Source organism: Homo sapiens, chromosome 2, assembly GCF_000001405.40.
Source record: "Homo sapiens chromosome 2, GRCh38.p14 Primary Assembly".
Classification (NCBI taxonomy): Eukaryota; Metazoa; Chordata; class Mammalia; order Primates; family Hominidae; genus Homo; species Homo sapiens.
The window spans coordinates 209,422,682-209,449,768 of record NC_000002.12 but is presented as its reverse complement, the minus strand read 5'-3'; the positions used below and the strand labels follow the sequence as shown (position 1 = coordinate 209,449,768).

The 27,087-nt window shown below is 35.5% G+C and overlaps 1 protein-coding gene across 35 annotated transcripts in view, besides 1 other annotated feature; it reads right to left on the bottom strand.

Annotated features, from left to right (window-relative positions):
- The window catches only part of MAP2 (microtubule associated protein 2), a 310,066-nt gene extending 284,344 nt beyond the window's left edge, over positions 1–25,722 (bottom strand). For all 35 annotated transcript variants that reach the window (NM_001375493.1, NM_001375501.1, NM_001375503.1 and 32 more), the window contains exon 1: positions 25,493–25,722. The gene's annotated coding sequence lies outside the window, so the exon portion shown is untranslated. The remainder of the gene's footprint in view (positions 1–25,492) is intronic.
- Positions 25,652–26,041: a silencer, noted in NCBI's record as "silent region_12291". NCBI's record gives its function as "represses an Ori minimal core promoter by ATAC-STARR-seq in GM12878 lymphoblastoid cells {active_cell/tissue: GM12878}" and the evidence as "EXISTENCE:reporter gene assay evidence [ECO:0000049][PMID:35858748]".

Sequence of the window (27,087 nt, the reverse complement as noted above, 5' to 3'; positions counted from 1 at the left end):
GATCTGATGAGAAGTCAGACAAAGAAACTGGAAATCATCAAGACTACTTGCAATATAGCTTTATATCCAATATCATTAATGATGAAACTCACTCAAATTACATTTTTCTTTGAGATATTAAGCCACTGTGATTTGCAAGATATTTGAAATTATTCTTTATTTTATGCTTAATTTGCTCTTTTTAATTTCAATTTCTATATTTTATATATATATAACAAGTTCTGAACTACATAACTATTAAAAGTATAATAAATTACTATGCATTTTAGACAGTATGTTCAATACTGTTTTAGCAATAGGTATGTCATGAAAAGGTTTTGAGATAATTGGTATAGACTATGGACATGGAAGGAGAGGGAAACGCATTCTCTAAACATCCAGTTTTCTTAAGCAGTCCCTCTCAAGTATTTTTGTAGTTCTGGAATAAGGAGCGTGACAGTTTGTTCTTTCCCTAACTGCCTGCGTCTGTTGGGCCTGAAAAAATTTTTTGATTCTATTGTTTCTTCTTTAATTTTTTAAAAAAAGTGCTAAGCACCTACTATGGTCCAGCCAGTGTGCTAGGTGATACAGTGCTAAATAAGACTGTGGAATGTATAACCTAATGGTTGAGTCTTCCTTTGCCTCTTTAGACCAAGGTGCTGAACTTGGAAGCTCCGTATTCTAATGCCTAGAAAAAAATCATGTGCGAAGTCAGGGAAGACCTAATGGAAGCACGTACAAGACTTACCCTGGTTAGTTATGGGACTCTAACAATGACATTATAAAAGCAGGCTTTAGTTACAGAGTCCCCCATATCTCTCTAGTCCAAAAACTGTGGCCATAAGTACCATAAGTATGCAGGTGGCTACCACATGGTATGGTGGTTAAATGGTGGCCCCCCAAAAGATATGTCCATGCTTTAATTCCCAGAACCCATGAACGTTACCTTATTTGGAAAAAGGTTTTTTATAGGTATAAATTAAAGATCTTGAGATGTAGAGACCCTGGATCTGATGGGCCTGAAACCCAGTGACAAGTAACCTTTTATAAGAGACACACACAGGAGATTTGAGAGACAAAAGAGAAGTCCATGTGAAAAAGGAGGCAAAGATTGGAGTGATGTAGCCACAAACCAAGAAGCATCAACAGCTAATAGAAATTAGAAGAGGCAAGGAATGGGATCTTCCCTGGAACCTCTATAGGGACCACCATCCTGCCAATACCTTAATTTCAGAGCCCTGGCCTCCAGAACTGTAAGAGAATACATTTCTATTGTTTTAAAGCACCAAGTTTGTGATAATTTCTTATGGCAGCTACAAGAAATTAACACAACCAAGTGAAGACTCTTTAGTCCTAGTATGTAGTCCAGGTATGTTGTTCTGTTAATCCTTGGGAAGCAGTTAATTATTAATAATTCTGGTTTGGGGAGCACGCAAGATTGGCTGCCAGCTTTAGGGTCAACAGGAGGGGAAAAACTACTGAAATGGTCTTTTCATGGTTATAACAGCTACCTACCTCCCAACCTCAAGTGATTATATGAGAGCAATTTTATGTTTTACATATTTATACATGTTGCCCAAATTTCAACAATAGACCTCTTTATTTGGATCATCTTTCAGGTTCAATACCTCATTGAATTACCCTGGAGCAATGCTGTTGTAGGACAGTAGATTTTTCTTCTACTTGTTGTATATTACATGGTGAAGGATGATACTGCACATTAAGGCCGTGCTTTCAAAACTTTTGTGTGCATCTGAATCACCAGACAGCTTGCTAAACATAGTAAATATGAAGTAGAATTTACATTTCTAACACGTTTTCAAGTGAGGCCGATACTCTTAGTCCAGGGACCATACTTTGGGAAGGGCTGCTTTAAAAGCAGAATTTTAAGTTATGAGTTAACCACTTATAATAGAGCTGGTGAGCCCTCTACTGAACTTTGCAGTCCTTGTTGTGTCTCTTTTAGCTAGGGCATGGAGTTATCTTCCACTATTCTCTGAGTAACTAGGACATAACTGATAGTCTCTTATTTGGAAGTACTGATAGTACAGGTCTCAAACTTAGAGAATTGGGAAACAACCTGACACTGGCTTGAATAATGATCTGCTAAGGGATCCTTGGGGTTAGCAACATCACTGAGGATAGTATCAAGAATTGATACCCTCATCATGACTACCCTCTCCATCAGCATGTGAGACTGTCCCTTAAGATCCTCTAAACAAAATGCTATCGTTTCTTTTGCTGGCTACTCAAATTTTTAGTAAGAATTTCTCCATATGAATGAGAGAGTTGCTACCAAGATGCTAGCAAAGGAGATTTCAGTAGCCTGGGGTTATATAACATATTACATTTTATCCCTAGCAAAACCTTAAAGGTGAAAGTCTGAGCCCAAACAGACCAATATGATCCACAACAGGTAGTTTAGAAGATATGGCTAGCAAAAGGGCAGCAGTTCAAGGTAGGATAATATTTGGTAGTTCTGTGAAAGTGGCCTCTTTCCTAAAATCAAGTCTGCAGACTTGTGAGCCACTAAAAAGCCACATTTTTATCAAATAGAAAGTTCATGATCAATTTAATGAAATGTCACTTGGGTCTGAACAAAAAGGATGTTTTAGTCCAGGCACCAAAGAAGGCCACAATTTCATGTCCATGTAGAACTTCTGTCTGGAAGAAGAAGGAGTTACTCTACTGCTTTACTGCTTTTAGTTATCTACTTATATATTAGCTCCAGAAAGAAAAATCAAGATGTGGGTTGTGGCAAGCTGCAGCTTTGCCAGAAAAAAAGGTTGGCCTTAGAGGTCCTAGGTAATCTTGAAGTACCTACATTACCTAGGTAAGTAGTATCTGAGAAAATATCTGCTATTGAAGTGACACTGTCAAACCTCTGAAGTTTTGGAAAACTAATACCACTCTTTAATTTTGAACTTGGATGAGTCAAGTAAATCTCAATAGAGGGCCAAAGGTACTCTATTTAAACACAGCAGTAGGATTCTTTCTCTCAAGCAGCCTTCTACTTTACACCGTCCTACTATTATTGGTTTCACAATTAAAATTTAAAGAAAACCTCCCGTGATTTGAGAAAACAAGATGTACTTATTCAAAATGGGGTGGGGAGAAAAGTCAGCTGGAACCTCATTTCCCTCCACCTATTTTAATAATGTAATTTTAAATGCTTTTGGTATTACCATAAATTTTTTTCCTTGGCTCATTCATGTCTAGGCAGTTCTAGGTTAAGCCTCTAAATAAAAAATTTTCTACATTTTAAAATGTACAGTCTGTTTCATTTTTAGTCATTAACTACCCAACTTTTCCAAAGTAATTTAATGCAGTGATTCTATTTTTTTCCAGAACTGAGATTGGTGATGTCGGGGTTTGGAGGGTGAAAAATACAAGCTACCCTTGGGATCTTTCTTTTTCAATGGAAAGGATGAAATATACAATGTAATATTAAAGCTAGGTCAAAGAAGGAAAAATTCCAAGGCAGAACTTTGGACATAACTACAGTCAAATTGTTAACTAAAGGTCTATATGACTCTAAAGAAACCAGGTATGATAAGCCAGAACCACATTTAGCAATGTATGTGTTTGAGGTTTACTAGTCAATAGAAATATGATTAATTTTAAAAAGTAAGAAACTATATGAAAACTGACACTTTTCTTAAATAATTTTACTTTTTTTTCTGAAAACACATCAAGCTTATGACCATATTACGGCATTAAATTGAACAATTTTAAACAACTACCCCCAAAACCCAAATATTTTCTTTTTAATATCTATTGTTTGGGTTCTTGCAGATAAATCTTGTGATGGATCATTGATTTTTTTATGGTATTCTATAATGGGCAGGAAGTGTAGGTACTTAGGTTTTGATTGTCAAAAAACATGTGGCTTTTTGTTCATTTAGGTTATGGTATGTTTTATGGTCTGTGGACAAAAAGAAAAGAGCTGCTATATTTTCTTGTTGAGTTTGAGTCCACATATTATTAAAACATGCTGCCTAATACCTCAATGCAAATTGCTATTATGAGTAATTTTCTTGGAAGATGTGGGTGTTGGAATGGTTTGCCAATGCTTCTGATTGTTATTCTCAAGTTCAGTCCTGTTGGTAGAACATGATTTTCTTGATCATATTTAATAAGTCACCGTAGTTAAGATGTTACATAAAAATGACATCTTACTCTTAATACAGATTAGTTACGTGCCCAGAGGATCTTGTGTTCTGAGTGATTTTTGCTTTTCCATAAGAAACAAGAGCACCAACTTTTCTTGTCTCCACCCACATTTCTGGCTATATGTTTTAAATGTGTTGCAACGTCTCTGCTGAAAAACCTGTGCCACATAGATTTAGGGTTTTAAGAAAACCCAAACACTGAAACCATACTCTTGTCAATCTATTCTGCATAATAATTATAATGTAGCTTTTGCTTTCAGTGATATTCACTTTCACCATTACCTCAGCAGAGAATGACATTGTGCATATCATGGAGTCAGTTTACAAAAATAAAGGTGAACGTAAACCTCTCTCTTGAGAGCATGAAGGCAAAATAACTGTAGTGTCCCTATTGCCCATTAGAAGTATTTGAATAGGATTAGGCTTTATTAGCAATTTTTAATATTACTTAAATGTGGAAGCCGCTTTGGAGCTAATTAGATACTTATGTGTTAAGGTATCACAATTGATTCTAAATCAAAATCTGAGTGATCCATATACATTATTTTTTAATTTCAAGAGAATTACAACTAAATAGTCCTTAGGAAATTTATTGATTACAGAATCAGGCAAAAACAATGTAGCATTCAAACAAACAAAAAAAACCATGTCTGTAAGAGTAGTGATGGTAACACATCATCACAAAAAAGCTTGACTTAAGCTTTTTTATATGTGACAATCAAACATTTCTTTTTGAAAGTGTGAGATTTTATAAAGTACTTTAAAATTTTAAAAATATACTATTTTTAAAAATTGCTCCCGATAAGAACTTTTAATCAAGAAACCAAGTGTCTTTCAAATTTCCTCAAAGAATACACGGTTGAATAGCAAACTAAGTTTCAACGATGACTCAGTTTGAAAAATAAAAATAGTTATTATAATTAAATTTCAAGTTAAACAATTAACTTACATACTCCTTTAGTAATTACTGTAATGAGGTTTGAATTTTACTTTAATTTTCATTTTCCCTCTGACAAAATATCTTAATTTTACTAAACTGCAACCAAAATTCACTTCAGATCTTGATTCAAAATATCAGCCCAGCCCAGGTTCTAATTTTAGACAAATAGGCTTCCTCCCCATAAATGATACTGACTTACTGAATCTAATTGGAATGTATGGTTATTTCAGCCGACAGTCTCACGTACTTGTCATACAAGACTTTTAATTACAAGATACTAATTAGTACAACAAAAATGTTCACCTATGTAATATTTAGGCATGAATTATTAATTTCCTTATTCATTGAGACTGAGTAATATAATTAATCCTTGAGCAAAGACAAGAAATACTGAACTAGAGAGACACATACATTTCAAATTTTAGTCCCCGAGAAAGAATTAAAGATGGGGGTTCTAATTTCCTGCATTAACTTGAGATAGATGTCTTAAACTTCTGACTACTTTGCTGGTGTTAATGGTTAATGTGCTTGGTAAATCATTTATTGCCATTAAATTAAATTAACCTGAGCAAAACAATATAGATTTCAAGCATACAGACATCTCTGCTGACCTTATGAAAATCTCTAAAATTGAAACAAAATACTTAACTATTATACAAAGGAAATGTTAAAATTCTTTCTCAGTACTTGAATAATATATTCCTAAAACTGGTTTTGCTTGGAGGTTTGCTGAATGTAAAGAATCCAAAGTGATGTCAAGTGTGGAAACAGCCCCATGGTAGCCTCCTCTGGTAGATTAAAGTTTTAGCTCACCTCTTTCCTATGAGCAGCTGTTCATCATCTTTATTTCCTAATGACGGTGTTGAAACATTTTAGAAAATGTTGAGTCTTCATGTTTTATGAAAATTCACTGAATATTTACTCAACTCCAATGATGTGTGCCTGACACCATGCTTCCATGTTCACATAAGCTCTCCATCAGTTAACTCTCACAAAACTTTGGGAAATAAACTATCCCCATGGCCGAAGTGAAGAAACTGAGGTTGAGTCTTTAGTTTATCCAGGATAGGGTGTAATAATGGAACAAGTGTTCTTTGGGAGTGGGTCGTTGAAGAGACTGGTAGCATACATCAAGAAGTATGATAAAAATATTTGTTATACTAAAGCATTTGACTAATGTTAGCTCTGTAGAGGGAAACAGTGCAGTAGACAAGCACCAATTTAATCAAATAATCACTAGCAAAAGCTAAACAGAACGGTGAACCTGCATTGTTGTTTGGTTAAACAAATAATTATTCAGTACATAGTATATGCCAGGCACTCTGCTAGAAACTGGATTTACAAAAATGAATATGATGGTTACTTCCTGCAAGAAGTATAAATAGACAGTGGGATAGAAATACAAAAACTGAGCTGGTTTTGAAAGATTAAAAGCAGCTAGCCAAGGAGAAAAAAAAAAAACCTATAATGGGAAGAACAGAGCAAGTAATGTGTGGAGACTATAGTAGATTGGTATTTCTGAGGCCAAAAATACAGGAAGGGAGTGGCTGAAAATAAGATTGAAGAGATAGCATGCTTCCAGATTTGCATGGTTTTATATGCTATATTAATACTGGAGGAAGGATTTTAAACAGAGGAGTGATTTGGTTAAATATGCAGATAAGAAAGATCAATCACTCTGGCTCATATAAATAGCGAATTTAATGGGAAAAGTTTGGAGGCAAGGAAATCAAATGCTATATTTCAGACGAAAGGTGAAAAACAAATTCAGTGACAGTAGAGATGAAAAGGAGAAAAATTTGAAAGAAATATATATTTAGGAGTCTAGGATGACTTTTTCATTTCTGACTTGGAATAGTTCCATGACCTAAAATGGGGACTCTAAGAGGAATGTAAGGGTGGATATTGAAATAAGTTTCATTATGAACATGTTGAGTTTCAAGTGCCTGCAGAACACCAGTGAAGCCACCTGGCAGGCAGTTGGATATATGAGCCTGACTCTCAGGGAAGATTCCCAAACTGGAGATACAGATTAGGAAGTAGTCAGAATACAAATGGTTGTTAAATATCGGACAATGGAAAAGATCATCCAGTGAAAGTGTAAACAGAAAGAAGAGTCAGGGACCTTAATAAAATACTGGAGGTAGAGGATGAGGAGATAATGCCAAAATTTAAGCTGATAATTAAACATTTACTTGCTAATAAAATCTCTTACTATTTCAATCATTAACTGCAATCTGATCTTTAGTCATTTGGACACTACAGAAATTGTTCACCAACCCATACAAAAAGGCAAAATCATTGATCAATGTCTTGGGGGCCCCTAGACCCCCCAATTTTTTGAGGTTAAAGTTCTTTTGCTCCCTCAACTTAGTGGTTTACTTGTGTAAAAACCAATTACAAATCAATATATCTACACTTTTTCCTTTCCTCATCAACATTTTATTTCCTCATCACATACTAGGACATCTGATTGACATTAAATATTAGGACTTAATAGAAATAGTTAAATGAGTATACTCTATGTATGTAGCCCTGGTTAGAACATCTGGGCCTTTCTGAAGCACTTACATTTGTAGAAAAACATAATAAAAACTAATTTATTTGTGAAAATCCTCAAATTTAAAAGCTTTTATGGGTGTTTGTCCAATAATTAATATAGACAATCCTGAGGAAACATGTATAATCTTTCTGTTTTGTTCCCATGTGGCACTGACTGACTACATTGTGCTAAAAGACCTCTGTTTTGATTCAAAAACCACATGAATTGAAATGCAACTCATGCCGGCACTGTAGTTCCATTTACAGTCCTGCTATAGTACTAATGTAGTAACTTCCTAAGTTCCATGCACAGTTATCTTGTGATTTGGATTCAGGCCCAGCAGAACTGAAGGCCTGTTCCTCGATTAATTCAACTTCTAAGTGTCCTAGACAATCAGTGGGTTGTGTTCACTTAGTTCCTTGCAAATCACTTCCCTCCCAGCCTTTCACTTCATCATTCGTGACTTGTGCATAGAAGGAAATCTCCCTAAATCCTTTTCTTACTCTGATTGCACTGGGCATTGTTTAAAAGGAATGGCTCTCATTATTTCCCTTTGATAATTTACATTTTAATTCTAGGTCCAAAAACAGCTGGCCTCCACTTCGAAAAGCAGTACAATAAATCCTTTGGGGATACCTCCTTTTTCCCTTCTTTTCCAAAGCATCATGTCCTCCAAAGGATTTACATTTGAAGTGGAAGACATTCTCAGAGAATTTAAATAGACATTGGTAGATCATCTGTATATAACAAAAAATTTAAAGGATTTATGAGTAATGTTTTATCCATACGCCTGATGAATTAAGACTTAACTGCCCAAAGAAATAAAACGTGGTATTATGTACATTAGTGAAGAAAAACAACCTTGTTGCCTTTCTATTGCAAATTATTTTTTTCAAGAAGATTTTTTATTCTTTTAAAAATCCACACCAGATACAGGAAGGGTGAATATAATCTACAAAGAATGTAAAGTTGTATCTGTCTTTTCCCAAAACTTTGTCTCAGTCTCATCTTTCCAACAGCTCTGATTACTTGTATCATTATTTACATGGTTATGCATTAGAATCATCATTTTTATACATGACCATAAATGATGATTTTAGCACACAACTATAATTATGACTGGGCTCTTATTTAAGTGTATCACATGTATGTTTCCTCCCCCAAAGACTTTTAAAAATGTAAATTAGTGATATGATAAGCACTTATTTATAGTCTGTTTAGTTGCCAAAAGGATGTGAGGTGGCTGACTTCAACTGGGTAACAGGCTTCAGGAGGGCAAGGATGTGGGATTGTCTTTTACTTTGTACTGCTAACATGGCTCATCACAGTAGGAAACTCATAACTGGTTCTTAATAAACACTTGCTGAATATAAAGTAAGTGTTCACTGTGGATAGATTTGTTTCCTCTGAAAGGTGCCTTATAATTCCAACCTTCCTTTATGACATTCAGATTTCCCTAATTAAAACAAACAAAAAAAACTTACCTGTCCAGCATTCCAACTATTGCAGTCTTTTTTGAGCAAACAGGTAGCTAAGATGACTGATTTGTGTAAAAGTGTGAATTAATGCAATGCTCTTCCAATTAACCATAAAACAAGCAGTCTTGGAGACAAATTTATCCCCTTATTTTATTAGAAAACTAAGGCCCAGAGGGTCAAATGACTTTCTCAAGGACTCAATAAGAGGGCGGTGTTATAAGAATTTCTGTGTCAAAGATAAAAATTGGATATTTTAGACAAATGAATGAGGTTTCTTTTTCTTTTTAAGAGAAACAGATAGTGTTGATTCTTTCAAATCTTGTTTTCTCCAAAAGTACTCACCATTTCCTTTTTGGTATAGGATGAAATAAGTTTTGTTAAACCTTTTGGGATTCTAAGCTTGTGTCTCTAAAACTATTCATTGATTTACTCAAAAATACTTATTGACCATTCCCTTCATAGACACAACTGGGATATCATGGTGAATAAGAGAATGAAATATTGCAAATACTGTACAAACAAGGAAACAAAAATTATGTAGTGACTATGGTGTCTTGTTCACAACTTCAAAACTGAAATTAGTGAATGTTTCAAGGATAAATATTTAAAAAGTGAACTATTCCATAAAAATTATGTGGCCTATAAAATGATATAGAGTGATAAATCTAAACACAGTGTAATAGAACAGTTTGTAACTTATCATGATTTTTTAAAGTTATTGTGTGGACAATAAAACCATAAAATAAATAGGGGTCAGTAAGATGTTATTTTATTTACATTCTCCTCCAGATAAATTCAGTGCTTTGTCTATATCTATTCATGTTGTATATCCCAGTACCAAGCACTGGGATAACATAACATCGACTTAAAATTGTATAAACTTTATACAATTTTATAAAGGGTGACAGTTGCTTACTTTCTAACGGTTCTCAAATGGCTAATGTGACCAATAAGTGATATGCATCTCTTATGTAGGGTAAAACTGTTGACATTGCCTTTTTCTATGGAGCTACAATTGTGGCATATATTTTGTTCACTCTCTCTCACTTCCTGAGAAACAATAAGTCTTTGCTCTAAAAGATAGCTTTAATTTGACTTCCAGATTCCTAGATGTGAAGCAAAAATAAAACAAAACAAAAAACTCAAGAGATCTTTGGTAATTATCCTCACCTTAAAAATACTGAAACAAGGGCCAAGAAAGTCATAGTTTAGTTTCAACTTAGATTTTTTTTCAGTACTTCCTTTATGAGTCTATGCAAAGTTGTCCTTTGTAAATTATATATATGTACACATTTATACACACATACATATTAGGCATCTTGTTCAAAGAAGTATAGGTATTAATAAATGTGGACCTTAGCAATCACATGTAGTCATGGAATTAGGTAATCAAATGTATAATCTTATAAATGACAAAACAGAGCAGCAATGTGGGTACACAGAAATAACAGCACTCAGTCAAACTGGAGTTATACAAAGCAATCACCATATGATACCCCTCTTTGTTCTCCATTTTATTCTCTCCAACCTCGGAATTAGAGAAGAAACTTTATTTATATACCATCAATGAGGAGGCATTACACTGTTCATGTATAACTTCAAATGTCTAACTTAAAAATTTTTATGCAGTTAAATGGCAACCGAATAAAAATCAGTATGTTATTTTTAAGAGCAAAATGAAATTTTTATTAGAGTTGGTATGGATTTTTCCAACAGGAGGTCTATTTTATTCTATTATTAGATTATATTATAAATAATAATATAATGTAGTTATCCAAAAATTTGAAATATTGTCTGTGTTTTGAATATATGTATACCTAGATTTTATGAAGATGATATGTAACAGCAAATCTGACCACCAGAGAGCCGTGTCATCGTAAGGTTACTTTTCATTCCATCCTGAGGATGCTGACATGAGTCCAGAAATGGCATGAATAAGTGGTGCCACTCTGTTTAAGCCAATAGTACTTTTCTAAGGAGAAGCATTTTCCAGATGTGCCTTGGCCTAAACCAGGGCTCCTCAGCTCAATGGTGAGAGGAGATTCTCCATAAACATATAGAATCTTCTCTGCAGGTTTAAGAAGGTGCATAATATTTTGAGAAAGGCAACTGCAATTGTTCAATGACTTTTCCTAATTATATTCCCAGAAAAAGGATGCTGAATAAAATCGGTGGAGTTATTTACACAATAAACTATGTTTTAATCACAAGATACAAAGTCATGAATACTTAATTCATCACAAAGTTTCCAGTGGCTGCTCTCATGTTTTTGAAATATTTTGTAATGCAAAAAATAACCCTGCATAATACAGGAACCCTAAGCAATTTACTGAAATAATTATTTTAAAATAATGAAAATAATATTCTCAAGGTTAAATATTCATACTCCATTTACATCCACATCCTTATCTACAGACTGTTTCCATAAGTATCTGATATGTATAATAAAATACGAATTTTTTTCTTTGCCATGGGAAAATAAAATTGAACTCACTTTAGCAAAGTACAACACCATCTTTTCATTTTGACTAACTTAGCTTAATGTAACCTCTTGCTAATATTCGAGATACTTTATATATTTCACTACCATAACAATAGTACAGTCTCATGCCTATTGTACTTTCCTTGCAATTGCACCTAGGCAATAATATTTGTTGAAATCTGGTTCTGACTATACCTATGGCTCATCACTCAAGGTGTTGTCTATGTTCCACATCTGGTTGAAATGCAACTTGTTACATTTCTAATTCTCTGTGACTCTAAACAATGCAAGATGATTACAGGGGAACGACTTATCTCAAATACAAGTCCTGATAAGGGGGAACAAACCACTAACTATCTGACAACCAAGAACTTTCTAACTTATGTATTTTTGTACAGTATTCTTCTATTTTTCTTAATTTTTAAAGAAGAATATTGCCATTTCCCTTGACACTCCCATTGATTATGTCTAAGAATCATTATCAAGTCACAGCTAATTAGTAAGTTTTTGTTTTCAGGCTAATGGTCACATGGGGGGCTCTCTTGTCCATCGTGTCATTTCTGGAAGAGTCAAACAATCTCACTATTGATTTAATAGGACAGTTAAAATTAGGCCAATTATTTAATTCTAATTCCAATGTATCCACAATATCTACCTATTATCGAAATTAGAAGGCAACAGTACAATTTCACATGAGAATATGTAAAACAAAACAAAAATCAAAATTCACAGTTATACTATAAGTCCCAGATTTCAGTTTGAATGAGAAAACCTCATGTGGCATTCTGGAGAGAGACAGAATAGTGCTTACATATCTAAATTCTAATTCTCAGAATATTTTCATGACCATGCACTTATAAGACAAAATACCTGGGTCTTAGCATCTTCCTACCAGGACCACTAAAGTTGAGAGGGTTGAAAAACTGTTTAAAAGACATTTGTGATAACGAACAGTGAAAGGTTCAGAAGCAACAAATCCACCCCATTTTTTTTAAGTGCAAGGGTAACAGATTTAACAAATGTCCTCCAACAGCATATTCACACACACATTATAATTTATTTTTGAGAAAATGATTTCAGTTGTGAAAACTGAACAAGAACAATGCAATCTGTCCTAATTTGATAGTACAATATGATTGAAAGGCCATGCCATCTTTTCCTTCTGAAAAGTGAATACTGTTCTGGTCACAGACTTTCATTAAAAGTAGATCTCTGATGAAAATACAGAATGTAGTTTGATTTACATTTTACCTTTTAATAAAAAGATTCAATAAAATTAGGATAAAGAGAAATCATAAGAAAACGATGCATGAAAATGTTAGTGTATGAAATGTCTACTAAAGATTCTACACAGTTACTTGAAGGGGGACACGATTTTATTCTGAGATTACTAGAAGCCAAGAAAAAAATGGAGACAAAATCAACGTCACAAACACTGATTCCAAAACCAAGCTAGTGGCTTAGGAAAGAGTCTCCAGTATCTAACATGCTCTGACTTGAGAGAAATCTAAAGATTCCATCCATGGGACTTCATAAAGGGAAATATATTAACTATTGTCTTCACATAGTCTTCATGTATTTGTTATCTTTTAACAGTATGGTTTTTATAATTTCAAAGCCATTTTCTGGATTCATGTTCAACCATGACAACATATGCCAGGGGTTGACAAAATACAGTCTGAAGGTCAAATGGGACTGTCACTTGTTTTTAGTAATAAAATTTTATTGGAACATGATAAGAACTGCTTATTGTTTGTGGCTGCTTTCTTGCTACAACAGCAGAGCTGAGTAATTGTAATAGAGACTACGCGTGGCCCACAAAGCCTAAAAATTTTCTGTCTGGCCCTTTGATAAAATAGCTTGCCAATCCCTACCACAGTACATTAACTATAAAAATATTAATACGTCTTAATGCAAACCTTTAAAATTAGAAATAAATATCTAACAAGAATGTGTTTGTAATCTTCTGAAAGACAATTTGTTAACATACATATACACACATATAACTGATTTTCAAAAACTGTTTACTAACTTAATCTGTGAAGTCATGAAGTCCATTTCCATTAAGACCTAGAAATTAGAAGGAATTAAATAGAAATTAATCTTTGTTCTTTTGCTTTATTTTCCAAGGCCAGTACATATATATATATTTTATATATAATATATACTGTATATATAGTATATAATATATACTGTATATATTATATATAATATATACTGTATATATAGTATATATTATATATATAATATATATATTTGGCATGCACGTGACATAACCCGAATAGAAGCCTATATTATTCACTGACTGACTACATTTCTGCATGGCTTCTAACTCTCACCCATCTCCACCAGCATCACACAATCCCATTCTTTAGTGTTGATATTTTCTTAATTGTATGTGAAAATGTCTGTAACCAAAATTTCCAAAGAAGTACCTTAGTTTCCCACTCTAAATAGTTTGATGTCTCTATGCTACACCATATGTAGAAATTCTAGGCAGGCCACTATCTTTCCCCAAATTTTTCTTGCTAATCTGAATATATCACATTCCTCATGCCATTTCCCAGGTCAAAAATCCTTCACTGATGCCAGTGGCCTTACAATGAAACCAAATCTCTTACTAAGGACATCTACAAATCCAGCACCACCCACACAGGCAACTGTTCTCCAAAAGGAACCCTCTATTACATGCAATCTGGTTTGCTTTGCTCACTGTCACCTCAGTGCCTTTGCTATTGCTATTGTCCTCAGTGCCTTTGATATTGCTATTGTCCTATCTAGGTGCTTTTCCAAACCTACACACACTCATGCCACTTCTGACATAATGTGTTTCACTTCTGCACATGGCAATGACACTCCCTCCTCTGAATTTGCTGGCACTTATAAGACATACTTTTTTTTTTACCATTAATATTGTTGTAAATTATATTATTTTTAATACTAGTTTTATGTCTTATATCTCTAGTGACTGTCAACTAGAGGAGAACAATATGCTGTATATTTGATATTCTATAGCACAAGCAGGGTTGTCTATATAGAAGAAATTAATTACTTTTCTGATTCTTTTTAAAGCTCTTTCATTAATCCTTTGAAATACATTTTAATTTATATTTGATGCTTAGTAATATCTCAATATTAAAAAGCCCATATTTTGGATATAATTCCAAGAATACTATTCAGAATTTAAAATATATTTGAATTATTTGTTGATTTGCTTTATATATATAAAACACATATATATAACATATATATATAACATATATATAACATATATATATAACATATATATAACATATATATAACATATATATAACATATATATATAACATATATATATATATAGAGAGAGAGAGAGAGAGAGGATCTGGCTCTGTCATGCAGGCTGGAGTACAGTGGCACAATCATAGCTCACTGTAGCCTTAAACTCTATGGTTCAAGCAATCCTTTCACTTCAGTCTCCTGAATAGCTAGGACTACAGACATGCACTATCACACCTGGCTAATTAAAAAAAAAATTATTTTGTAGATTTGGGGTCTATGTTGCTTAGGCTGGTCTTGAACTCTTGCCTCAGACTCCCAAAATGCTAGGATTATAGGCATGAGTAACCATGCTTGTCCCATATTTTTAACATTTCAGTAACTGCAAGTCTGGAAGATCCTTATATCAAATGGTTCCACATTAAAGTAATTTACATAATAAAAATAATCCTAAAAATAAAACAGAAGTCAAGGAAAGAGGCTTAAACAAAAATCAACAATAATTAAATACCCCATTATAAAATAAAAATATTAATTTCTCCTAAATTATGTGATATTTTGGAAATGTCCAGTAACTATCATAATATGACAAAATAAAAAAATAATAATTTTGTTTATTGAGGGCATGCTTAGGAAAAAAGTAAACAGCTCTGAACCATGCCGAAAGTACAATAAATCAAATGTCTGCAAAGTGTATTTAAAGCTAAACTCAACAGAGCATTACACTAAGTCCATAAATATCTGAAAAGTGCATTAAATATTTTAGTATAAGCAATATATGCATAAAGAGGTACACTGCTTATTAATCTCATACATGATTCAAGATTATCATGAAACTGGATCCGCTCATTTACCAAATTGTCAGGAGATTTAGACCATTGTCTCTAAGAAGCAAAATGTGTGTTACACTGTTATTTAATGTTGGTTGTTGTTTGGCACCTGACCTTGTTTACAACTAAATCTGCTGTGGGGAAATAGCCAAAGGACCCATTCATATTGAGAATGGAATTTTTTTTTTGACTACTTCCCTCAAACATGAATTTGTACTTTTCTGTTTAGATTGTTTTGAAAAGCTTGGTTTGGGGTACAAAGAGACTACAAGTGATTAAAATTAATTATGCATGTAACTCACCAACAGCCAAAAAAAAATGACACAGTTTGAGTTACGTTACAGCATTAGATAAGAACAGCTTACCAAAAGTCTACTCTTGTTTCCACCATTGATTTCTGATTTTCTAAATTATTTCTCTCTTGTGATTTAACACATTAGCAAATAAGATACAGATATATCTAGAGGGATTTAGAAGATATAATTAATCTTTGAAAGCTTTTATGAGATTCTAAAAAAATTCTGCTTTTAACAACCTGAAAAATTACAGTGCAGTGCAAGTTAAATAAAAGACAAACTCCTTATCAGGGTCAAAAGGACCAATGTGGCCTGGTACCTGCCTTCTGTTCTGACTTAAGTGTCCCAGTATCCTCTACCGTGTCTGTTGGACTCCAGTACCATTGGTCTTTCTGTTTTCCAAATATACCAAGCTTCTTCCTGCTTTGAGGCTACTCTCTCTCACTTGAAAGCTTTTCCTCCGGGTACTACTGTGGCTGGCTACTTCTCATCACTCATGCCTCCAAAGGCAGCCTATCCCATCACAGACAAGCTCTATTATATATGTTTATTGTATATTCCCTACAGCATTTATTTGTGTCTGAAATGTTCATTTATTATTTCACTTGTTAATGTCTGTCTCCTGCTGCTAGAATGTTAGCTCCATGAGGACAGGAATTTATGTGGTTTCTTCTGATATTTTCCACATTCAGAAAAGTGCCTACTAAATATTAGGAACCCAATAACCATGTGTTTAATAAATAAGTGAATGAACCATGGGCTATGATCTAAGAAAGGACACACTAGCCTGATATTCAAGTAGAAGAGACAGAGACAGTGAATCCCTCCCAAGTAAGAACATCATGTTCTAAAAGGCATTATCTTAATTCTTTACAGATTATTTAAATTTCAGACCACCAAATAAAATAAACTAAGAAGAGTATGAAATATCTTACTTTAAGAGATCTGCATTTATATGTGTTGACTCTTGATATACAATCCAGGTGGTTTTATTCCCTGTACCACATAAAGACACTTCAGAGGAAGACCAATATGCACAACCCATTTTTCATCAATGTATATGGAAATTATAAGAAACTCTGTACAATCTACTCAGTGATAAAACAGTCACTCTGACTCTGATGGATGATTAGACATGTTCATCGAGAGAATTAAGACATATTACACGGAATTTTCTAATAGAATGGTGGCATTAGAATTATTTCACTCTCCTGATAGTGGTATGGTTTCAGTTTTCAGTGACCAGGAATATGTTTCTCCTTAATATTTAAGCACAATTTCTACTTAATTTCTTTCCTTTAAGATGCCTTTCGTGGCTTTCAAGTATTTGTCAACTAAAGATTCCATAACGCTTAAGCAGCATGGGTGCAGATGAAGCTCTGCTGAACACAGGAACCACAGCAACACCCAATTCTTATTTAATATGCAGTCTTGGAAAAAGCAAAACAACAACAACAACCAAGAGGGATAGAGCACTGTAGGCAGAGAAACAGGAAGGCACATAAGAGTAGGAAGGTAAGTGGAAAATAGGCACAAACACAGAGGCCCACAGCCTTTCTAGCTTACTTCTTCTTAGCTAAAAATGTTAAATCTGGGAGAAACGCAAAAGGAAAGCAATTTGAAGGAAATTTAATGGCATTACAGATGAGAAAAAAGTTTCAACCTGCCTATTTTTGTTGGATTCCCCTTATATGTTGAGCCAAGTTTAAATACAGACTCAAATCAGTCTGGAGGCATCAGTATGGATAGTTCAAGCTCACAGAAAAGCTCATTGGCTTTCCAAGTCTGGGCACACATCCCCAGAGTTTAAACTACTATCCGGAGAGATCCAAACCACAGGAATGGCCCTGGAGCAGTAGCTTTGTAAGTGTTTCCTGGATCAGATTTAGTCTCAGTGCTTACAGTAGTGTAGCTGGCATGTAGCTGGTTGGAATAACCCTAGAATTCCGAGCCCCTCCCTCTTTTATATCCATGTGAAAGTCACAGTTGAGTCACGAAGTTGGGCAGGTATGACTGCCACCTCAATCCACCCTCAGCTCAGAGAACAGAAATATAATCAGAATTGGGAATGGCAGTCAGAATGAGATGAGTCTTCAGTGACACCTCTTACCAAGCACTGAGTTTGAGCCTGAATTATTGAGTCTCAGGCCTGCTTCCCCTACTAACTAGATAAGGAAAGTCACTTAAATGGTCACTGTCCCAGTTTACTTATATGTACTCCACAGGTTCACAACATTTGCCCTTGATAGTCTCTTTTCCCCATCAAACATTCTCTAATTCATATATAAATAGCAAGTCTTGAGAATTGATGCCTTTTCAGTGATGGGGCAGAGGCACAGAAATAAAGAATGTATTTGTAACTCTCATTTGTAAATGTAAAAAATAATTAACTAATTACAAAAAGAATGCATTTAATAGCATTTTAAATATTTCCAGATATGTAAACACACAGTCCTTCTAATCCAGTAATTAACAGGGCTACAAAAAGTTATTCCATTACATAAATCATAAATATGTTAGGAATAAAAAGATTTTATTAAAAATCAGTTTATCCATTTTAAATGCCATTTTTTTAATGGAGAACTTTGCATTCCTATTAATACCCTCATGATACCATTTGGGAAGCGACTAAATAAGGCAGTAAGAATGTCCAGGATTGTACAAAGCTTCATACTGCCAGTTTTGATATTGACCACTCTCAATATGGTGCTACTGAAGACAAAAGAAGAAAAAGCATGAAATTCGTGACTGAGTTTTAAAGCTATAAGAACTTAAACAAATGAAAAAAACTGTTAAGTTTCACCAAAGGCCACTCAGTGCTCTGAAATAATCTTCATCCCGAATAAGGCAAAACTTTAGTCTGAGATACAGTGGCCAAAGATCTTTTAAATAAGTCCTAGATCATAGTCACTTGGTTGTTTTATAAGAGATTCAGGTTTCAGTAGATGCTTAGTATTTTATGTTCTCCTAGCAGCAAAATTCTTAAAAGTTCCATCAGTCCTGGTTTCTGATGTTTAAGTGAAGATAAAGGGCATTTTCCATGTAAAAGCAGTGTCACCTGAACTTCTTAAAAGATACATTTAAGTAGCCAGTATTCCAACTTAGGACATTTTGATCAACATGGAGATGTTTTAATTTTGAGCACAAGATTTAGCTTTACCATTTGATTTCAATAATGAACAATGGAATCTGGACTATCTTAATCCAAACAGAAAAATACAGCAATACTTTAATATTAATCTAATTTGATTTCATTAATAAATACTTGGTCATTGTTTTCCCTATTAAATTGTATTTAATACCAACTGTTCTCATGTGGAATCAACTGATTGCATAATAATTGATTTCACCAATGAAAAAAGCAAATATATAAAAGTCTAACTCTATCTTAGAAAGTAATTATACACAAACACACAAATACCACCACTGCCACCATCATGTTAGCCCTTGTGAAACACCAGGTAGACAAAATTAGCAGGCTGAGAAGTTGTTACAAGTATTATAATTCCATGTTCTCATCCACTAAGTAAAGAAATTGTATGCTACAGATTGAAAATTTTGTTCAAACAATAAATAAGTTTTGTAGCAAATTAAAGAATCAAATATTTTCCTGGCTATACTAGATGACCTATTAAGATAAAAAGAATGAATAACTGAATCCTAAAAACTTTTTTGCTTGTTTTTCAAAGTGGGCCAAAAGGACGTAGTGAATCATATAAACAACAATAAAAAATAGGCAGCCTATTACTTAATACATTATTTTGCTCAAAAAGGTAGACTCTTAAGGGAAGAGAAAATTACCAATTTGAGAGGTACAATACCCAAATAAAATAGTAAAATGTCAAAGCCGAGCATTATTTAATTGCCTTAATACCAATCAAAATGATACCATATTATTCATTTTAAAATTGATGAACACTTTCTCATGCCAATTCATTATGTAATTTCAGCACCATGCATTAACAACACAATGTTGTACTTTTAAATTGTTGTAATGCAAAGGTAGTAGCCACCTAAAATCCATTACTACTTAAATAAATGTAAAGGGTTCATATTGAAATGATGGTTTTGTCTCAAATAGAGTCAGTTTGTATATTTACTTGTGAGTTTGCTTTAACTGTAAAGGACCTAGACAGTTAAGCGATGAAATATCTCATGATATTCAAGCACTGTATTTTATGGTCATTTTTGAGGTAGATTAAGATGGCTAATGATGATGCTATACAGAGAAATGTAATTAGGAATATTTTACTTAAAATTAAATTAATTTAGTTCAACATTTACTGATTGCTCATAGAGTAGTTCATACTTCACTTAATAGGTACACATTAGTGGAACTAGTTAACTAACATAAAGACAATGGACTGCCTGACACATAGTAACTTTACTAGTTGTTAAAAAAAAAAAACTAGTTGAACCATGTTTTATAGTGTCTGATGAACAAAATAATAAAAAGTCAGTTGGCTAGCCAAATTTTTTATTTAAAAAAATTCGTTGTATACATGTATTACTTTTGTCTGAAAATGTCTTTAAAGTAATTGCCGGGCACGGTGGCTCATGACTGTAATCCCAGCACTTTGGGAGGCTGAGGCGGGCGGATCACGAGGTCAGGAGATCGAGATCATCCTGGCTAACAAGGTGAAACCCTGTCTCTACTAAAAATACAAAAAATTAGCCGGGAGCGGTGGCGGGCGCCTGTAGTCCCAGCTACTCGGGAGGCTGAGGCAGGAGAATGGCGTGAACCCGGGGGGCGGAGCTTGCAGTGAGCCGAGATGGCGCCACTGTACTCCGGCCTGGGCGAAAGAGCGAGACTCCGTCTCAAAATAAATAAATAAATAAATAAATAAATAAATAAATAAATAAATAAAATAAAATAAAGTAATTCAAAGAAGGCTAATGAGGACACATTGAGGCGAGCAATTACCTATAACCTAAGGGAACCTGAATAAACTTGGATACAAACTAATCGGGAGAAATAGGGTAGTAACTTTTCTTCTGGTTTTTAAAGGCCTTTTTGAGGTACAAAGCGTTATGAAAGATTGGTATACAAGGAAAAAACTGTTGAAGCCTAGGGGATATAAAAGCCAAGTTCAAAGAAAGGACCAAGATAGGGATGGAGCCTTGAGAAGGAGGAGAGGTTAGCATAAAACTTCATGTTAAATGAGAAATATAAATATAATGAAAAATAAATTTCAATAAGAATATCAGGCTATAATTTCATTTTCTAAAGACCAATGTTTATTTTGCCAATACAAACTGAAAGAAAGGAGCAATCTAAGTAAAGAAGAAAAGAAAAGGGAAAGAGGAGAATGGAAAGAAGACAAAAAAGGAAAGAAAAAAGTCAAGGTATGTGATCTTAAAAGTAAATTATTTGCTCATTAACATAACAAAAAGCAAAAAAAAAAAAAAAGAAATTTGCCCCCTCTAGTGTGTGTTTTAACGGAAAACAAACTGTCTAAAACTTTCCCCAACTTCCACAATATAAACTTAACAGTAGACTGAAAGAGGATCCTGAGCTCTTTATTTTGTCTAACTTTCCATAGAATTTTACTGAAATGTTTAAGTAAAATGTATTACAGTTAAAGTACTACCATTCAAAGGAAAGCTTATGTCTTGAACAGGAAAGATCAAAGATTAGATTCAAAGTGTTTTTCATAAAAATTCATCTAATTGTGTTCACATCATTTTAAAATTCTGAATTCACCTAATTCACTGTAAAACTCCTTCCAATAAACATACTGTATAATTTTTATAAGGAAGCACCATGGCCTTAGTTCAAAGACATGACAGGGGAGGGATGGGGACAAAATATGTTGAAACAGAAAAACAAAACATTTATTCCTTCTTCACCCTCTTAGACAAAAAGGCTCATCTCTACCCTACATGGACAGCTTTTAATAGCTGAGAATTTGCTTTCATTCCACATCTTCCTCTACGCCCACCCACCTACCCACCCACCCAAACCTTCATACAGACTGTCTCCCTTGACTTTGGCCTTTTGTGTACTACATATTAATTTGCAGACTTTTAACTGCTTTTGGTGCCTAGAATCATTTTCTGCAATTGAAAACTGAGAATATCAAAAGTTGTTTCTCATAATGAATAAATAAATACATAAATGGTAATAAGTGCTCTCCTTAATGAAAAATAAAGGCCAAATTTGTATCAAGAGAGTAACATTACTGAAACCAAAATAGCTAGAGAACAGTAAGTCTAACATCCAAATGTCGAATTAAAAAGAATGATGTGAAGGGAGGGAAAATATGGTGAAATGATCAAAATACAGTCCTTACATGAAAAGGTCTAGATTGAGTAGATAAAGGTAATGGCAATAGTAAAGAGATAATTAAAGTAGCAAAAACACTTGATATATCTGAGAGAATCAGATATGACTCAAAGAGTTTATTAGCATCTTTAACTAATCTATAACAGAGACAAAAAAATTTGAGATTGTTTCAAAACTGTTATCTTCAGGTTCATGCATTTACTAATGACTTACCTAAAGTGACTACTTTTAGCATTAAGGAGGATAGTATTGATCTGGGGGTGGTGCTATCTTCTACTGTAACTATTATTTCAGATTCTTTATCTTAATCTGTTAAGAGGAAATTAAGTATTGAAAGGATTCAATAATCAGAGTTACCAACTTGAATACTAAAATCCCCATGTCAGTTTCATATGGTCAGTCTCAAAAGGACATCAATGAATCACTGAAGGATGCACCTATTGTCCTATAAGCAAATGTAATAATGATTTTTTAAAATGCCAACAGTGCAACTACATTTGTTAATAGCATGTCCAGTCTGTTGTCTAACTGCTAGTAAAATTCAATACAAAATATGTGTGTGTGATAAGAAAATACACAAAAATACACCAACATTTTTCTTCCTTTTCCCTTCTGATGTTTAGAAAATTTGCGAACTGGTTTAAACCAAAAGGGGTAAAGGAATGAAATTATTCCTTCAGGCTTAGAGGATTCTGTGCCAAGTTTCATTTCTGGCTACATATTTCTAACCAAGTTCAAGATCCCTGAAAAGGAATACATAAAAGAGAAAATATCCCTTTAACCTCAGTGGAATGACATTAGTAAAGGCTGCTATGGGAAGAGAAAGGCTTTTGCCCTGAGATGGGTGTGCTCCTGGTGTTTGGTTTCCACTGAGAGGATGCCTGCTCTCTCAATGAATCTGAAGTACCTACTAGGATGAGGTAATGGCTGTGCCAGTTTCACTGGGTCATGCTCTTTCAGCACATTCTTTCCCTGTCTCCTCCCTGAGAAGGTGCTGTAAACAAGTCATCCTGAGAGGTGCTGCAGAGAATGAACAATCCTAAATTCAAAATTCTTGAAAACACTGGCCCTCCTATGGCAGTATAGAAGACTAAAGCAGCCATAAAGAAACAGGTTATTTGATTAGAAAAGGGAAAAAAATAAGAGAGGAGATAAATAAAATAAAAATTAATATAACTAAAATATTATTTTATAAAAGGTAGCTCTATTTTTAAATTACTTAGATCTTCAGATGTGTGTTAAGCAATTTTCTACTTATGGTTTTAAAAAAGAAAACTTTGGACATTAAATAATATTGTAGCAAACTGTAAAATATGAAAAATTAAAATTAAATAAACCACAGATAAACAGCATGTACCACTGATCCTAAAGCCACAATGGCTCTGATAATATACAAATCATGAATGCAGATGTACACCTATGATAATCAGATGAAATTACCAGGAAATCAACATAAACATACACACACAAATATAATAATCCTTACTGAATGAGAAAAATGCCTTTTTTCTTGAAGGAAGGGTTCTTTGTGTGCATGGGGCTGGGGCTTTTGGAACATCCATGATTTGCAAATTCACAAGGATTTCTACCAAAATACACCTATTGCCCGGTTAAAGGGCTGCTTTGTGTTATATTCTGATGGAAGGCTGTAATCTTTTCCCTGGGCATAAAATTAAAAGCATTCTAAAGGGCTTCTATTTATTCAATCTATTTGACTGCCAAAAAAAATCATAATTGTCCACAGTGAAATGACATAGTGAAAGAACTATGCTTTTGAACTGGGCTGGTACCTGCAGCTCATGCATGGGACATTTTGCATAATGTGGCTCACATAGAAGGCTTTGTTCTCCATCGCCTCACTGTGGCTGCAAACCTCAATTTCAGTTTGCAATCATTTCCTTTTCTAGACTGATCATTTTAAAATAAATTATACCTTTAACATTTAAATTAGTTCCTTACCAACAGTCATCAATCCCTTTGCCTCACACCCAAAATTATATACCACCCAACAATATTTTTTTGTTTTGCACTACAGATTTTATTCACAACATAATTTCCAAACCCTCAAATACAATTTTAAAAAATCAGTCTCTTAAGTACCTATTTCCTTTTGTAACATGTATATAGTGTATTATACATTTGTGTGCATACTTGTGTGTTTAGGCATTTAAACAAAAACCCTTTACACCGGACTCAATTTTAAAGCGTCTATGTCCTGGAAGCATTGTGCTAAGAGCTTACGACAGATGGCACACAGCAATTGTCACAAACGGGCTTGTTGCTAATGAAAGCTTTTTATTTTCTGACAAAAATCCTGAAGTCCGGATGCCAGGCAGAATAACATTAATTTCCAGTTTTCAAGGATTTTTTTTCTGACTCCATCCATACCCCTCCCCCTATACACACCCAAATATACAGCTCCCCACTCCTAGCCCCCCACACACTCTTTCTTGAAATTTCCATCCTTAAACAAAAGACGAGGTGGGGGAAGGCAGGCAGCCAGCACTGCAGTCCTCCTCTCCCCACCAAAAAAGCCTTTTAAAAAGAAAAGGAAGAAAAGAATAGATGCACTGTAGATTCAGAGGTCCACCCCCAACGTTTAAAAAGAAAAACGACTGTGTGGAAGCCTAACCAGACTCATTTCTTCGTGCCCCGCCCTCCAACACCACCAGGCATTTATTTTTCATTTTCCTACAATTATAAATATCAGTCCTCCTCTCCCAGCTGTTTCTGAAGGAATTACAGAGAAACATGATTTGAAATGGACAAGGCTTCCCTCACTCACTCACTTCCCAGTGTGCAGTTCTCTGCAGCTGGATGAACAAAAAAATCCCCTACCTCGATTTCCTATTTTCCACTATCTTTGTAGAATCCACTCCCCTTCTTTCCACAGCGCAGGTAATACTGGCTTTCGATACACGTATTCTAACCTGGCGTAAGTTTTCAGTTGTTTCAAAGTGGTACCTAACAAGCTCACTCGCTCTTCTACGAAGCCAGGGCTCAGGTACCAGTAGCGTCCGGCCCCCTGCTCCGCAGTGACACCTGGAGAGGACAGGCCCGAATCTTCCGCCAGGTGCACGGCTGGCCACTCGACCAACTACCAGACTGCCTGCTGCGAGTCCCAGAGGACGAGACACAACCCCTCCCCATTCCTATCTCTTTCTACTCAGAGACCGAGGCAAAAGGAGAGGCGCCCTACATAGAGCCAGAGGTGGGGACGGTCTCTTACCTGGGCGCAGAAACTGGATGCACCCGCGGTCGCGACTGCCACCGCTCACGGACTTAGCGCCCTCCGGAGAAAAAGGAGAGGGGTAGAAGGGTTAGGGGAAGAAGGGGAGGGGGGGGAAAAAGAAGGAGAAGGAAGAGAAAGAAGCGGAAGGGAAGTAAAGGAAGAGAGGATGCTGCTGCTGCTGCTGCTGCTGCCCAGAGCCCGCGCAGCCCGAGCGCCCGCCCCAGACTGAGAGCGGCGCCCCCAGCCGGCTCCCAGCGCAGCAGCTCCGCCTCGGCCCCTCCTCCCCGCCCCGCGCAGGTCCCGCCCCGCGCAGGTCCCGCCAGACTCCGCGAGCCCGTGGGCGGCCGCGGCGGGGCTGGCGCTGCCACCGCCGCAGTGTCCGGGAGGGGGAGCACGACCGCTTCGCCTTCTGCCGCAGCCGCCGGCCGCCAGGCGGGGACCGCGAGGTGGGAGCCTCGGAGAGCCCCGCCCAGCCGCTGGCCCGGGCCTTCTCCAGAGCCCTGGTCCCCTCCCGCGACAAAGTGAGGCCAGTGCCCGGGCGGCGGGACAGGCGGGCCTTCCTCACTGGCGTCCTTGGAAAATCGGGGGCAACAGCTTTAGTCTCTCGGGAGCAACCTCCGCAGACCCCCTGCTTCCCTCCCCTGTGTCGCTATGAGGCGGGGTTGCCAGTGGCACCTCACCAGGAAAGCTCACTGGCCTCGCCTCACAAACCCAACCACAGGTGCATCCAGAAAAGACAAAGGAATGTGGGGCGCTTGAGAACATAGAACAACTCTTGTCAGCACTAAAGGAGCAATGGCTGAGGGAGTAGAGAATTCTAGACCCAGCTCTGTCACGAATTAGATTCATTCATTTATTGAGTCAACGAATGTTTATTGACACCTACTATGTGTCAGGCACTCTTCTAAGCATTAGAAACATCAGTGACAGACCTTTCCCACAACCCTAATAAGAAAGATCCCCTCCCTTTATAGTTATTACATTCTAGATAGCCAGACGTATGCTCTAGAGACAGTTCACTTAATCTAACTCTCAGTGTATTCATGTGTCATATGAGAACTAAAAATGACAGCCCAATTCTCTTATGCTTAAAAAGATAATGAATATGAAGGATCTTTGAAGAATGATACAAATACAATGAATTAGAAAGCACGGAAAGTGTTGACCTTGAAATATCACCCTTAAAAAAATTGCCTCTTAAATGCTTTTGAAAGTGAAATGACCACCTGAGAAAACAAATGATTCTTTACCATTCGTACTAAGGAGTATGAATCTTCATAATCAGAGAGCAGCATTTTATTGTAAGTAAGAAAAGTAAGATGCAACTTAGAATTACTTCGAGTGTCTATATCAAGTACTGACAAGGTGTTTTTAAGGTCAGCCAACATACTGAGGTGTGGCTTGTACAGTCTTCACAGTGCTGATGAAACAGCAGCCATAATGTGGTTCTGTCACTTAAATTAACCACAGAATCTTAGAACCTAGAACATTAGAGTTGATGTTTTAGGCAGCTGGTCTAATTTCCTCCATTTTCAGATGGAAAGAGACCCAATGGTGGGAGCCTGCAAGGATTAGAAACCATCACAGAGGAA